At 41.4% G+C, this 16,596-nt stretch overlaps 1 protein-coding gene across 9 annotated transcripts in view, besides 1 other annotated feature; it reads left to right on the plus strand.

The window, feature by feature from the left end:
- The window catches only part of SUPV3L1 (Suv3 like RNA helicase), a 28,860-nt gene that overhangs the window by 10,906 nt on the left and 1,358 nt on the right, over window positions 1–16,596 (plus strand). For 5 of the 9 annotated variants that reach the window (NM_001323585.2, NM_001301683.2, NM_001323584.2 and 2 more), the window contains 8 exons: window positions 516–627; window positions 4,049–4,126; window positions 5,853–5,944; window positions 7,233–7,413; window positions 7,965–8,058; window positions 9,141–9,360; window positions 11,300–11,380; window positions 11,728–11,904. In NM_001323585.2, the coding sequence (NP_001310514.1) occupies window positions 516–627; window positions 4,049–4,126; window positions 5,853–5,944; window positions 7,233–7,413; window positions 7,965–8,058; window positions 9,141–9,360; window positions 11,300–11,380; window positions 11,728–11,904 (1,035 nt within the window). The remainder of the gene's footprint in view (window positions 1–515; window positions 628–4,048; window positions 4,127–5,852; window positions 5,945–7,232; window positions 7,414–7,964; window positions 8,059–9,140; window positions 9,361–11,299; window positions 11,381–11,727; window positions 11,905–16,596) is intronic. The other 4 variants (NR_136627.2, NR_136626.2, NM_001323588.2 and 1 more) reach the window with 2 other exon arrangements.
- Window positions 13,038–13,137: a silencer, noted in NCBI's record as "silent region_2429". NCBI's record gives its function as "represses an Ori minimal core promoter by ATAC-STARR-seq in GM12878 lymphoblastoid cells {active_cell/tissue: GM12878}" and the evidence as "EXISTENCE:reporter gene assay evidence [ECO:0000049][PMID:35858748]".

Raw genomic sequence — 16,596 nt, forward strand, 5'->3', positions numbered from 1 at the left:
TGATTTGAGATGTTTCCAGGTTTACCCAAGTTGTGTAAGAGAGTGGCTCTTATTTTACTTTATTTTTTATAAAAGGGAAAAAAGCATTGGGAATTTTTTTTTTTTTTTTTTTGAGACAGTCTTGCTCTGTCTCCAGGCTGGAGTGCAGTGGCATGATCTCGGCTCACTGAACCTCCATCTCTCAGTTCAAGTGATTCCCCTGCCTCAGCCTCCCGAGTAGCTGGGACCACAGGTGTGCAACACCACTCCCAGCTACTTTTTCTGTTTTTGGTAGAGATGGGATTTCATCATGTTGGCCAGGATGGTCTCTATCTCTTGACCTTGTGATCTGCCCACCTCAGCCTCCCAAAGTGCTGGGATTACAGGCATGAGCCACCGTGTCTGGCCGTGGGAACATTATGTTTTAACTGTGAAACAAACTAATTTGGTGGTAGTGGAGAGAACACCCTGTTAAATATCCAAAACGTATTTTTGCATTATTTTCAATAATTCTAGTTTTTTTTCTGTCTTTCTAGGGTGTGCCATGTGACTTGGTGACAGGTGAAGAGCGTGTGACAGTTCAGCCAAATGGGAAACAGGCTTCACATGTTTCTTGTACAGTTGAGATGTGCAGTGTTACAACTCCTTGTATGTATATGCTGTTTAAGAAACTATGGTTTGGTATTTTTAATTTTTTTTTTTTTTCAAGACAGAGTCTTGCTCTGTTGTCCAGGCTGGAATGCAATGGTACTATCTCGGCTCACTGCGACCTCTGCCTCCCCAGTTCAAGCGATTCTCCTGCCTCAGCCTCCCAAGTAGCCGGGATTACAGGTGCCCGCCACCACACCCGGCTAATTTTTGTATTTTTACTAGAGACGGGGTTTCTCCATGTTGGTCAGGCTGGTCTCAAACTCCCGACCTCAGGTGATCTGCCCACCTCGGCCTCCCAAAGTACTGGGATTACAGGCGTGAGCCACTGCGCCTGACCATGGTATTTTTAATTTTAAAATACACTTGAACATGTGAAATACGATTTTTTTGTGTGAAGAAAAAATTTTAAAATCTAGAAAAAGAAGAGAATAAGTATGACAAACGTGCGATCCTGCCACCACTGACAAATGCCTGCACCTGAAGTTCTTTCCCTTTTTCTCTTAAAAGAGCTGAAATGTTAATAAGCATAATTGAAATTTCCTTTGTACCACTCTCCAGTTTAATTCCTCTCTCCTCTTTTGTTCTAACTGGTAACAGATATTTGGTGTGTATAGTTTTCCTGTCTCTTTTCAGGATATATATTATATCACTGATACGTATTACCAGTATTCTAGATTGTTGTGTTTTAAAACATTTATGTGATTATTGTATTATTATTGTTCTACCACTTGCTTGTTTACTCCACAAATGTGTTTAGATCTATCTAGTCTTATTGAAGTATCTATAGCTACATATTTGTAGTTATTTCATTTAAACTGTTTTATAGTATTCCATCTTAGAACTGAAATTATTTGTTCCCCATTTGTTAAAGGATATTTAGGTTGTTTAAAGTTTTTTCCTGTTATGTACACTGCCACAATGAGCTTCTATTTAAAGTTGTTTTGTTTTGTTTTTGAGTCAGGGGCTCACTGTGTCACCCAGGCTGAAGTGCAATGGCGCAGTCATGGCTTACTGCAGCCTCGACCTCCTGGGCTCAAGCAATCCTTCTGCCTTAGCCTCCTGAGTAGCTACAACTACAGGTGTGAGCCACCACACCCAGCTAATTTTTTATTAATAAATTTTTTGTGGAGATGGGTTCTTGCTGTGTTGCCCGGACTGGTCTCTAATTCCTGGCCTTGTGTGGTCCTCCCACCTAGGTCTCCCAAAGCAGTGGGATTACAGGTATAACCCACCGCACCTGGCCTTAACATTTAAGTGAAAATTAACTTTTTCCTTATTATGTAAGCAATCATATCTTCATTATTGAAAATATAAAAATGTAAGCAAGCAAACAGAAGAAAACAAATGTACATAATTTCCCAGTCCCACCTATCCGGAATCAATAGGTGTTAATTAACCCTATATATTTTCCAGACTTTGTTAATATTTGTGTTCATGTTGTGTATGCATATAGTTATATGTGCATGGTGGGTGTGTATATTAAACAAATAGGAAGGTACTTTACTATTTGGTAGCTTGCTTTTTTTCATTTTAATAATCAACTTTGTGAGAAGAATAGTTTTTAAAAAATCAATACATTATAAAGTAATATATTGTACAGTTGCACAGAAGTTTATAAATCAGAATTTCTTCTCTATGTCTTCTCTTCTAGTCTTGTTTGTACATATCCAGATCACGAAGTAGTTTTTTTTTTTTTTTTTTTGAGACAGGGTCTCACTCCTGTCGTTCAGGTGGGAGTGCAGTGGCACGATGACAGCTTATTGCAGTCGTGACCTCCTGGGCTCAAACAATCCTCCTGCCTCACTTTTAAATTTTTCTTTTGTAGAGAAGAGGTCTCACTTTGTTGCCCAGGCTGGCCTCGAACTCCCGGGCTCAAGCAGTCCGCCTCGCCTCGGCCTCCCAAAGTGCTGGGATTACAGGCATGAGCCACCATGTCCAGCCTCAATAAGTAATTTTTAATCTGATGATTGTTCAATATAAAATTAGCTTTCTTTACTTTCCTAAGTGTCATTGTATTTTTAAATGTTCTCTTTTCAATTCTGTAGTATTTGGGGAAGAAAGTAAAATATAATATATGAATTACAGGGAATAGAATAAGGTATTTGGAAGCATTTTAGCTTTAGAAAATGAGATGAGACACTACTTTTTGCCATAGCGATGGATTTAAAACCCCTAAGGATGAGCATGACTGAGGCCCAAGGAATTATTCCTTCCACTTCACTTTCTGCTCCTGAGAGCTGCCTGGTTTCCTGTGGTAGAGATGCTTCATTAGTAAATGAAGGGCTGTCACCTCCTTGTTCTGGAACTTGCCTTCTTCTTTTACTTCTGTCCAGATGTGATAGTTCTCATCAGAGAAATTCTCCAGGCTGTCTCTTAGATTGCAAAAAAACAGGACAAGTGGAACTGCTCAGTGTGGGAGGCAGTGTGGTAGAGTATGTAAGAGTATGGACTTGGAGCTGGATGTGGTGACTTGTGCCTGTTAATTCTGGCTACTTAAGAGATTGAGATGGGAGGATTGCTTGAGGCCAGGAGTTCGAGACCAGCCTGAGTAACATAGCAAGACCCTCATCTCTAAAGAAAAAAAAACCTTTTTTTTTTTTGAGCTGGAGTCTTGCTGTGTTGCCCAGGCTCGAGTGCAGTAGTGCAATCTTGGCTCACTGCAGGCTCCGCCTCCCGGGATCAAATGATTCTCCTGCCTCAGCCTCCAGAGTAGCTGGGACTACAGGCGCACGCCACCATGCCCGGCTAATTTTTGTATCTTTAGTGGAGACGGGGTTTCACCATATTGGCCAGGATGGTCTCGATCTCCTGACATTGTGATCCACCCGCCTCGACCTCCCAAGAAAATGTTTTTAAAATTAGCTGGTCATGGTGCTGCGTGCCTGTAGTCCCAGCTGCTTGGAAGCTGAGGCAGGAGGATTGCTTGAGCCTAGGAGTTTGAAGTTACAGTGAGCTATGATTGTGCCACTGGACTCAGGCTGTATGACAGTGAGACACTGTTAGGAAGATCACTTTCAACCCAGGAGTTCAAGGCCATCCTGAACAACAGTGAGACCCTGTATCTAAATTAAAAAGAAAAAAAAAAGAGTATAGACTTTGGAGCTAGATGGCCTGGGTTTGAATTTCATCTCTGCATTTAACTGTATAACTTAAGGCAAGTAACTTAATTTCTCTGGGCCTCTGACTTTTTCTGTCAAATGGAGATAGTGATAATACTTAACCTCATAGATTTGTTGTGAGGATTAAAGAGGAGGTACTTAAGAGGAGGTAAAACACTTAGAACAAACCTGCTGGAAAAGAGGAACCCAGTAAGTGATGGTGGTAGTGGTGATGGTGATGCTTGAATTTTGGTGTTGGAATTTGTTTATAATACTATTTAAGTAGATGGTATTGCTCATGTTAACTTTTTTATTTTAAGATGAAGTGGCTGTAATTGATGAAATTCAAATGATTAGAGATCCAGCCAGAGGATGGGCCTGGACCAGAGCACTTCTAGGTTGGTGGTCGTAATGCTATAAAACCCGTGCTTTATGACATCTGCGCTGAGATGCATTTTTATCTGCTTGCCATTGCCAACCAAATAGAGTCACCTAGAACCTTTCTTTTTGACACAAAAAAGTAAACTAAGTATGAGTTTTTATTTTCTAAATATTATTTTAATAATGGGAAATCTATTTTTTCCTGTGCTAAAACTAGCATAACCATGTAATTAAAGTTAAAATGTTCAAATCTCATATTTACACAACTACAATTTATGTTTTGGTGTGTTTCATGCTAGTCTTTTCTTTTTTGTATGTGCATATGGTGTTTTGAGAACATTAGTTTTGTATCTTGCTGTTTTTCATGTGACATTTTTCATTATGTATTAATATGATCGCATATCTCTATTGAAGGGCAATACTGTAATTTGCTCCATAGAGTTGAACCTTTTTTTCCCTATTACTAATAACGCTGCAGTAAAAATCTTTGTGGCCAAAGCTTTTTATTTTTTGAGACAGGGTCTTGCTCTGATGCCCAGGTTGGAGTGTGATGGCGCAGTTGTGGCTCACTGCAGCCTTGACCTCCTGGGCTCAAGCAGTCCTCCCATCTCAGTCTCCCGAGCAGCTGGGACCACAGCTGTTTGCCAACATGCCCCCTGGTTAACTTTTTAAATTTTTTGTAAAGACAGAGTCTCCCTATGTTGCCCAGGCTGGTCTTGAACTCCTGGGTTCAAGCACTCTTCCCACCTCAGCCTCCCCAAATGCTGGGATTACAGGCATGAGCCACTACACCCAGCTTATTTTTTATCTTTTTAATTATTTCTTTAGGATAGGCTCCTGTAAGTGGAGTTCTTGAGGTCCATAGACATGAATGAACATTTCTACTGCTTGATGTTGGAGTGAATTTTTGATCATGTTTTAGGGCAGATGTTTTCAAATTTAAAAACAAATAGCTGAACTTGGCTGGGTGCGGTGGCTCACGCCTGTAATCCCAGCACTTTGGGAGGCCGAGGCTGGCCGATTGCTTGAGGCAAGGAATTCAAGACCAGCTTGGCCAACATGGCGAAACCCTGTCTCTACTAAAAATATAAAAATTAGCCAGGCGTGGTGGCGCATGCCTGTAACCCAGCTACTCCAGAGGCTGAGGCACAAGAATCACTTGAGCCTGGAAAGGAGATATTGCAGTGAACCACAGTGAACCGAGGTCATGCCACTGCACTCCAGCCTGGGCGACAGAGCAAGACTCTGTCTCATGGAAAAAAAAAAAAAGGCTGAACTCTTTTTTTAAACAAAGAGTATACATTGAAGCCTGTTATGTAAAATACATGGAAGTGGATCTGCTCGGGGATAAGGAGCTTGGAGTTTCTTCTGCCCTCCAACCCCCAACCTCTGAGGTACCTCAGCGATTCCATGGAGCCTAATTTGAAAAACACAAGTATAGGGTCTGTGTTCAGTACTTAGCATCCAAATGCCAGCTTCTAATCCTGGCTCATTTCACTCTGATAGAGTTGAAACTTTGGCCAAAGCAATTTAAAAGGCCTGAGATTAATAAAAATTGGATAATCTTTGCCCATTAGAAGTTGGTGATTATTTCAAGGTTTGCATCAGAGATAATATTTTTGAAAATACTTGGTAAGGTTGTAAAGCAATATGTAAGCCAACGTAAAGTACTTTGGCTATGTAAAATGTTGTATATTTAATTATAAATCTTTAAAATTAAGAAACCCAGTTTTGCATTGACAGGACTGTGTGCTGAAGAGGTTCATTTGTGTGGAGAACCTGCTGCTATTGACCTGGTGATGGAGCTTATGTACACAACGGGGGAGGAAGTGGAGGTATTCGATTAGATGCTTTGTTCTCCAGGTGGCATATCAAATAGTCCAGAGTACCTAGGCAGTGGCTTCAGAGGCCCTAGATAATGCCAGCGTCAGAACTTAACTAAAAAGAAAGCTTCATTTTCTTGTGATCAACTAGACCATATATATTTGATTGAACCTCATGATCTGAAGTTCTGACAGAGTGGTCATCACACCCTAAGTCTTCCAAGAGTACAGGAAATTCTTCACTTCTTGACAAAACCTTGTGGGGCTTGAGTAGATCTCTTCGAATTAAATAAATCAGTACTCTTAGAAGTTGGAGACCCAGCAAGTTTGTCGTTTTCAAAGTGTTGTATGTCAGATATTGGGGCCTTTGATACACATCTAATTGCCAGACACAGTTTATATTCCTTTTTGAAATTCTTAGAGTTGGAAGTAACTGGTTTCCTTTTAATCCTGCTTCTCTTTTTCTTTACCAGAGTTCTATAGTAAAATGAATTATTATTATTATTATTATTTTTTGAGACAAGGTCTCACTCTGTTACCCAGGCTGGAGTGCTGTGGTGCAATCACAACTCACTGCAGTCTCAGCCTCCTGGACTCAAGTGATCCTCCCACTTCAGCCTCCCAAATAGCTGGGACTACAGGTGTTTGCCACCATGCCCATCTAATTTTTTATTTTTTGAGCAGAGGGCATCTCACTGTGTTACCAAGGCTGGTCTCGAACTCCAGTGCTCAAGCAATTCTCCCACCTTGGCCTCCCAAAGTGCTGGGATTATAAGCATAAGCCAAGGAAATAGTTTTGAATTAGCCTGTTATTTTAGTTTTGTGCTCAGTTTTCAAGGAGAGATAGTGGAATATAGTGGAAGAAATTTTGGAGTCCATTCTGTGTTTTGCCATTCTTAGCTTTGCATTCTTTAGACAAGTCACAGAAGGTTAGACTTGCAAAATGTGCCTCAGACATTAATTTTTTATTGGGCTCAGTTTTACTATTTTATAAAATGGAAATAGCAGTTAATAACCTTTCTGAACTTAACACATTGCCGTGAAAATGAAATATATGAGAAAAAGCTTTGAAAACAGGTGAAACACTCTGTTTCATCTTATTAATTTAGAGATGCCAATGAGAAGTGATGGTAACACTTATAATATCAAAATAAATGTTTTTCTGTGTTTTCTTTTGAAAAACATTGGTACTTATCAGTTTTTAGCTACTCTTAACTGCATTACAATCTTTTCACTTAATTACTAGTCACAAGAAGTTGAGTTGGGTGTGTCATTTTGCCATTTCATGTCTTTATTGTAGGTTCGAGACTATAAGAGGCTTACCCCCATTTCTGTGCTGGACCATGCACTAGAATCTTTAGATAACCTTCGGCCTGGGGACTGCATTGTCTGTTTTAGCAAGAATGATATTTATTCTGTGAGTCGGCAGATTGAAATTCGGGGATTAGAATCAGCTGTTATATATGGCAGTCTCCCACCTGGTAATTATTGACTTTCCTCGTGACAAGATATGAAATCTCCTATCTTTGCAATTTATGTTGAGATATATATAAAAAAATGGTAAACAATATTGAATTAAGCTGCTTGATGTATTGGTAATTTGTTAAACGTCATATAAAATAAATAATTTTCTATTTCATCTTAGTGGAAATAGAAGTATTTTAATTATAGTTCTTGTTAGTTGCTGCTATTATTAGACTGTATCTTAAATGTTGAGTTTATTATTTTCTTACAGAAATGTCATTGAAATCTGGTCTTGACCATGTCCTTTTAAGTTGTAGTCCTGAAATCTGTGTCCTCAGGAATAAGGCTAGTGTGGTGGGGGATTGTGTTGCTATATGACGGAGTATTTGAAGGAATGGATGTAAAGGATAAGTGGCTCTTTGAGGATATAAAGAAATAAAGTTTGAAACAGTAAAGGTTTTATCATTAAAAATGGGAAGAACAGGAGGTGAGGGTTTCCAAGATGTACTTAGCTTGATGTAATAAAAGACTGAGAACACTGATTTAACATAAATTGTTCTTGTTTTAGGGACCAAACTTGCTCAAGCAAAAAAGTTTAATGATCCCAATGACCCATGCAAAATCTTGGTTGCTACAGATGCAATTGGCATGGGACTTAATTTGTAAGTAATTTGTTTTTAATAAGATGAATATTTGGTGAGTTAAATGGTGGTTTTTTTGTTTTTCAGTTTTCTAATTGGCATTAATGACCAAACGCTATGATTTGGGAGAATAAATATTATAGGCTAGATTTGAGGTTTGTCTTGCCTACACCTATTGAGGGAAATAAAAAGAAAATATTAAATAGTGCCAGGACTTTTCTTAGGGACAGGGTCTTGCTCTTTTACCCACGCTGGAGTGCAGTGATCAAATTGTAGCTCAGTGCAGTCTTGAACTCCTGGGCCCAAGTGATCCTCCTGCCTCAGCCTCCAGAGTAGCTGGGACCACAGGTGCACACCACAAAGCCTGGTTATTTTCTTTTTTTTTGGGTAGTGACAAGGTCTTACCCTGTTGCCCAAGCTAGTCTCTAACTCCTGGCCTCCAGTGATCTTCCCACCTCAGCCTCCCAAAGTGCTAGGATTACAGGCATGAGCCACTACACTCGGCCCACACTAGGACGTTTGAATGCTGCCCACCACTACTGCTAACCTATTGTACTACGTCACTTTACTTTCAGTTTCTCAGTCAGGTGTCCGAGTGCCTATTATGCACATGGGGCTAGTTATTATCTCTAAATGATAACAATGTTAAGCCTAAATATTATTTATTTATGTATTTATTTATTTCTGAGACAGAGTCTCACTCTGTGCCCCACGCCGGAGTACAGTGGTGTGATCATGGCTCACCGCAGCTTCAAACTCCTGGGCTCAAGCGGTCTTTGTGCCTCAGCCCCCCGAGTACTAGAGCAACAGGCACACACCACTGAACCTAGCTGATGTTTTTAATTTTTTGTAGAGACTTGGGTCTTGCTATGTTGCCCAGGCTGGTTTTGAACTCCTGGCCTCAAAACAATCCTCCTGCCTCAGCCTCCCAAAGTGCTGGGATTATGGGTGTGAGCCACTGTGCCAGACTTTCCTTAATTTTGTAAGTGGCAGTCAAGGTTGCAAGAGGACCTAAGCTAGTATTGGAGTGAGCATTATGCAATGACCCAAGTATTGGAGGGTTTTTCATACAGTCTGCAGGATCACTTTTATTTCTGTTTCAGGAGCATAAGGAGAATTATTTTTTACTCCCTTATAAAGCCCAGTATCAATGAAAAGGGAGAGAGAGAACTAGAACCAATCACAACCTCTCAAGCCCTGCAGATTGCTGGCAGAGCTGGCAGATTCAGCTCACGGTTTAAAGAAGGAGAGGTTACAACAATGAATCATGAAGATCTCAGTTTATTAAAGGAAATTTTGAAGAGGCCTGTGGATCCTATAAGGGTAAGAGGTAACATGTTAACTACTGCTTCTCTGTGGAGGAGAGTCATTCTTTCCCTCACCCACCATCCAGACTCTCACCTCAGACACATTTCTGGATACAGACATAAGTGAAAGAAAATTTTGTGCCATGAAAACTGCATTAAAAAAAGCCCTACTTTATTGCTTTGGAGAGCCACAGAGTTCTTTGATCAGAGAATGGTATGCAAGTGAAGGTCCAGATTGACAAAGTTTAGTGAGCCTGATTTGCCTTTACTTCCTTCCGGAATCTAGCAGCGGGAAGGAACAGGGAGAAAAGCAGTTTCTTCAGCTGAGCACACAGAGCTACATTAGTGGACTGAAAAATGACCAGAAGCCTGAATATAGACGAAACCTTGTATTGCTTGGGGCAAAAACAGCCCTAAGCAATACAACTTCATCCAGTGAGGAGAAGGTTAAATTTTGGTTAATATTAGTTAATGAGTTAGAATTGTACATATTTGAAACAAACTTTCTAGTAATAGTCAAAATTTAAAGTTCCCTGGAAAATTCACTTACATGGCTTATCTCATTTGTGACACTAGATGAAGGGGAGTATAGACATGAGATCATACAGGGAGAAGCATGCAGGGAGAGAAGCTTCCAGGGGAAGGCTGTGCTGGAATCATTTCTGTAACTTCTCAGCAGTACAGTTAGGTTCGTGGTTGGCTCCTGTGACCTCCCTGCTTCCCTCCTGGGCACCTCATGTCTTGGACTCTTCTTCCCTCCCTTATGACTAATTTCTCTTGCCTCTTTTCTTCTGTCTTTTTCATTCACTTTCTCTCTCTGTTTCATACTTCATTCCTTATACTTTCCTGTGGCCATGTCCTAACGGTGTAATGTGTAGCTAAAGAGAACTCACTTCCAGTTTAAAAATGTTCTCATGTCTTTCTAGATGTATATATCTATGTTAGTTTTATTGCCTTGGTTAAAGTGACTGGGTTTTTCTTATTCATTTTAATTCAATGAGGAGAAATGAGACATGGAAAATGGTTTTACCCTGGAAAACAGGTTTTTCTTTCCTTTTTTTTTTTTTTTGAGATAGTGTTTCACTCTGTTACTCAGGCTTCAGTGCTGTGGCATGATCACGGCTCACGGTAACCCCAATCTCCTGAGCTCAGGAGAGCCTTGCACCTCAGCCTCTTGAGCAGCTGGGACTTCAGGTGCTCACCACCATGCTTGGCTGATTTTTTAAAAATTTTTTGTAGAGATGGGAATCTCCTTTTGTTGCCCAGGCTGATCTTGAACTACTGTCCTCAAGTAATCCTCCCACCTTGGCCTCCCAAAGTGTTGGGATTACAGGCATGAGCCACTGCACCTGGCCGTAAAATCTTTTTTTTTTTTTTAGACGGAGTCTTGCTCTGTCGCCAGGCTGGAGTGCAGTGGCGCGATCTCGGCTCACTGCAAGCTCTGCCTGCTGGGTTCAAGTGATTCTCATGCCTCAGCCTCCCGAGTAGCTGGGATTACAGGCACGCAGCACCACACCCAGCTAATTTTTGCATTTTTAGTAGAGACGGGGTTTCACCATGTTGGGCAGGATGGTCTCAATCTCCTGACCTCGTGATCCGCCCACCTTGGCCTCCCAAAGTGCTGGGATTACAGGCATGAGCCACCACACCCAGCCCATAAAATCATTTTTTGTACACTGCCAGATCATCATAGGTTTTAGAAATATAACTAAAATGTAAGCAAAAGACTAATTTCTCAGTGGCCATAATCTGTCATTTTTACTAAATCATCAACTTTTCTAATTGGTAATAAATGGTAAAATGATATTTTTTCTCTTTTACTCAAATTCTTGGCATTTACTTCATATGGTGAGAGCTTAGCCTGAATGGGACTTTATCGTGCAATAACTTAAGAAAATTTGTCCTTTTTGAAAAAAAAAAAATCAGCTTATGATTGTTTTTTCTTTTACTAAAAGGCAGCTGGTCTTCATCCAACTGCTGAGCAGATTGAAATGTTTGCCTACCATCTCCCTGATGCAACACTGTCCAATCTCATTGTAAGTGGAAACTCCCTTTCACATCTCCCCTAAAAATGTTGATATGTCAGGTGATTACTGGTTAACCTCATGAGCATGAATGGATAGTCTGCCTTTGAGAAGTTGCTATTTATAAAATTTATTTTACAAGTGAAAATTTTTTCTCAAAATCTTTTGGGACTTTAGCCCTGAGGAATTTCCTCTCAGTATTTCAGGTGGGGAAGGATATGAGGGAGTGATTAAAGCAAGCCTTTATGGAAGTTTGTTCTGGATTAAAGAGATTGTCTTTTATAGACTTGAGTATGTTATTCATTGTTCATTTTAATTCACTTAGGCAGTCCAGTAATTTCTGTCTTTTTTTCCCCAAGGATATTTTTGTAGACTTTTCACAAGTTGATGGGCAGTATTTTGTCTGCAATATGGATGATTTTAAATTTTCTGCAGAGTTGATCCAGCATATTCCACTAAGTCTGCGAGTGAGGTATGTTTTCTGCACAGCTCCTATCAACAAGAAGCAGCCTTTTGTGTGTTCTTCACTGTTACAGGTAAGCCTTTATCTTTAAGCTATTTTGAGTTCCTTCTGGTTGATGCAGGTTCCCCAAACAGTACTTTGTTATTCAAAATAAAATAATTACAAGAGTATTCAGTAATATGAGAGACTTTGTAAAAACTTAAATAGGGGTTAATAGTAGCAACAGTGTTCAGTTTTCTTAAGTGTAAAGCACTGAGCCAGGGGTTACTGTCTTGTATGAGCACCATGCCAGGGTTCTAGCCTCTTTTAACTCATTTGGGTAGGGATGCAAATCTCTGACTTCTGAGAAGCACAGGATTCCTGGGGGCCAGGAAGGACAGTGGACTATGGAGAACCATAAATCTCTACCAAGGCCGGGTGCAGTGGCTCACGCCTGTAATCCCAGCACTTTGGGAGGCCGAGGCGGGTGGATCACTTGAGGTCAGGAATTCGAGACCAGCCTGGCCAAGCTGGTGAAACCCTGTCTCTACTAAAAATACAAAAATTATCCGGGCATGGTGGTGGGCACCTGTAATCCCAGCTACTCGGGAGGCTGAGGCAGGAGAATCACTTAAACCAAGGAGGCAGAGGTTGCAGTGAGCCAAGATCGCACCATTGCACTCCAGCCTGGGTGACAGAGCGAGACTCTGTCTCAAAAAAAAAAAAAACAAAACTCTACCAAGGTTTATCATAACAATACTTTTATTTAATTTAATTTTATTTATTTTATATTTGAGGCAGGGTCTTGCTCTGTTGCCCAGGCTGGAGTGCAATGGTGCAATCACAGCTCACTGCAACCTCAACCTCCCTGGCTCAAGTGATCCTGCCACCTCAGCCTCCCAAGTAGCTGGGACTACAGGCATGTGCCACCATGCCCAGCTAATTTTTGCATTTTTTGTAGAGACAGATCTCTCTATGTTACCCAGGCTGGTCTCGAGCTCCTGGAGGCAAGTGATCATCCCACCTCAGCCTCCCAAAGTGCTGGGATTACAGGCATGAGCCACCTAGTCCAGCCTAATATTTTAATTATTAAAAATGTTTTTGAAAGGATCCAAATGTCCAACAAGAGGGAAAAGGTTAACTACATTATGGCATATCCACTTGATTGGATATTAGGAAGACATTGCAATGATAATTATGATTATAATGAAGAAATCTACATAAGTGGTTACACTATAACAGTAAGTGAGGGAAGCGGTTCAGAACTGTATGTACCTTATAAACATAACATGTTCTCTCACCTCCCGCCCTATTTCCTCTGCTTTGCATGCTCTCCCCACCCCACTAAACCCAAAGGCCTCCTCTTCTCTGAATCTTGTCCTGACTCACTGAGGTTCACTGCCATTTCCTCTGTAGGCCTGAGCATTCTACATATGAGCTATATTCTAATCAAATCTAGCTCTAAACTTATTTTTTAAATAACATAAATAGTCCAGTGCTGTGGCTCATGCCTGTAATCCCAGCACTTTGGGAGGCAGGAAGGATTGCTTAAGCCTAGGAGTTCGAGAACATCTCCAGCAACATAGCAAGACTCTGCCCTTTAAAAAAAAAATTACATAAATAATACATACATTCTCTTTATACAAAATGAGAACATTACAGATAGCTTAAATGTGGCTCCCTCCCCAATCTTAGTCCTCTGAAATAACTACTTGTGTAAGTTTGTGTGTATCTTTGCAGACTGTTTTTCATTGCGTTTGCCTATGTGCATGTTCATGTGGAAACACTAGATTTGTTGTGAGGGTGCATTTCCCCATAAAAAATTATCTTTTTTTTTTTTTTGAGACAGAGTCTCACTCTGTCGCTGAGGCTGGAGTACAGTTGTGTCATCTCAGCTCACTGCAACCTCTGCCTCCTGGGTTCAAGCGATTCTCGTGCCTCAGCCTCCTGAGTATCTGGGATTACAGGCATGTGCCATGCCTGGCTAATTTTTGTATATTTTGTAGAGGCAGGGTTTCGCCATGTTCCCCAGGCTGGTCACGAACTCCTGAGCTCAAGCAGTCCACCTGCCTCAGCCTCCCAAAGTGCTAGGATTACAGGCATGAGCCATTGTGCCCAGCCCTATCAACGTTATCTTAATGAATTACTCACAACTTGCCTTTTCTTTTTCTCTTAATAATATGTGTTAGAGATCTTCCATGTCCAGATGTTTACCTAGAAAATATGTTTCTTAGAGCTGGCATTTGTGAAAAACTTAGCTAGCATAAGGTTGAAGTTTATGGAACAGTCTTGAACTGCTGTAAACTGACCTGAGTGGAACTCAGTCCCATGGCCTTGGCACCATTCACACCATCCTTTAAACAGCTATTCTAGTGAATAGAAGCTCTTTACTAAGGTGTAGGGAGTCTCTGGAACATGCAGGTCAACAGTTGCTTGTTTTCTTAAGATAAGGTCTCACTATGTTGCCCAGGCTGCAGTGCAGTGGCACAATCATAGCTCACTGTAACCCCAAACTCCTGGGCTCAGGCGATCCTTCCACCTCAGCCTCCTGAGTAGCTAGGACTACAGGTGTGCGCCATGATGCGTGGTGTGTTTTCTTTTTGAGATGAAGTCTCACTCTGTTGCCCAAGCTGGAGTGCAGTGGTATGAGCTTGGCTCACTGCAACCTCCGCCTCCCAGGTTCAGGCGATTCTCCTGTCTCAGCCTCCCGAGTAGCTGGGATTACAGGTGCCCGCCACCATGCCTGGCTAATTTTTTGTATTTTTAGTAGAGATGGGGTTTCACCATGTTGGCCAGGCTGGTCTCAAACTCCTGACCTCAAGTGATCCACCCGCCTTGGCCTCCCAAAGTGCAGGGATTACAGGCATGAGCCACCACACCCGGCCGCTCCGTGTGTTTTCTGTTTAAAAATTAGAATATGAAATCTAGAGGCTTTTCCTTTTTTCCTGATCTTTGTCATTACTGAACTATGAAAGAGCTCAATCACATTAATGACTTAGGATGCCCCTTAGGACTGTGATTTGGAAGCTGTGCTCCATGGAGCTCCTTTAGGGCCAGCTGCTGGATGGATGGATGGATGGATGGATGGATGGGCGGGCATCTCTCCCTGCTCTCTCTGCATAGCTCCTTACTTAGCTCTTTTATGTATTGGGCTTCCACTAGTTGTTTGTGGCCAAAAAAAATAGAGCCACTGCCTTTATAAGATAACTTGAGAACTCATGCTTGGCCTGTCCTGCCTAGCAGGTAGTGTGGTCACATTTCTACCCTTTATGGCTATCCTACTTGGCATTTATTAAACTTAGCAGAGTGGACCAGACTGAATTTAACAAAATTGTGGCATTATTTAACTACAATTGATCTAAAACTGCTCTTCCTCTCTGAAGTATTAACCTTGCTTAGGTTAAGCATTTAGAGATAATTTCCCCTAATCAGGAAATGAATCATTTGAAATCAGCTTGAATCTTGAAGCTGAAGATTTTATTTAAACTCTTGCTTGAGGGGTCTTACTGTGTGGTTGTATGTCTATCTTCTGTAGTACAGGTGATGTATAATATTGCCTAATTCTGGGATGCAACATGGTTTTGAAAGCACATTCCCCAGCAGTGTCTTGTGGTTCAAGACAGGGCTGTGATGTCTCACGTTACCAGTGAGGAAGCTGAAGCAAAGAGTGTTGACTTGGCCAAAGCCACACAGCTCGCAGGAGGCAGATCCAAGATTGACTTCTGACCAGCCTTGCACCAGGCCACCTCAGAGGGTTTCTATATAATAAGGGAGGACAGCCAGGTGCGGTGGCTCACGCCTGTAATCCCAGCACTTTGGGAGGCCGAGGCGGGTGGATCACAAGGTCGGGAGTTTGAGACCAGCCTGACCAACATGATGAAACCCCGTCTGCACTAAAAATACAAAAATTAGCTGGGTGTTGTGGCGGGCGCCTGTAATCCCAGCTACTCAGGAGGTTGAGGCAGGAGAATCACTTGAACCCAGGAGGCGGAGGTTGCAGTGAGCCAAGATCGTGCCATTGCACTCCAGCCTGGGTAACAGAGCGAGACTCCGTCTCAAAAAAATAAAAAATAAGGGAGGACATTAACAAGATAGAGAAACTTAAGCTCGTATTTGAGGTTATAGGACTATTACATATGAGATAGAAATAGGAGTCTTCAGGTACTGTCTGTCCATAGCTTTAGAACATCACATATTCCTAAATAAGAGTTAACAGACTTAGGCCCTGGAAAGTTAGTCCTTCTACAGCTTCTTTTTTTTTTTAACTGCTCCTTGTGGAGCAGGGATACCCTATAGGTAGTGTGCCCAGAGTAGCCCTTGAACTTCTGCTGCACATATTATTACCCTGGTTTTAGAAAAAGAAGGAAATCATCTTTTTTTGTTTTTTCTTTCTCCAAATGGTCTCACTGCTGGAGTGCAGTGGCACGATCATGGCGCACTGCAGCCTTGACCTCCCTGGGCTCAGTAATCCTCCACCTCAGCTTCCTGAGGAGTAGATGGAATCACAGGCACACACCACCATGCCCAGCTAATTCTTTGTGTTTTTTGTATGGATGGGGTTTCTCCATGTTGCCCCAGCTGGTCTCGAACTCCTGGGCTCAAGTGATCTACCCGCTTCAGACTCCCAGAGTGCTGGGATTATAGACGTGAGCCACTGTACCTGGCCTTATAAAGTATTAAATGTTCTTTAAAATGTAGAAGAGTATAAAGGAGAAAAGAAACCACCTGTCTATTGAAATACAACCACAATGTTTTGTTTTGCTTTCTTTTTTTTCTCTTTCTAATT

The sequence above is a fragment of the Homo sapiens genome, chromosome 10, assembly GCF_000001405.40.
Source record: "Homo sapiens chromosome 10, GRCh38.p14 Primary Assembly".
Classification (NCBI taxonomy): Eukaryota; Metazoa; Chordata; class Mammalia; order Primates; family Hominidae; genus Homo; species Homo sapiens.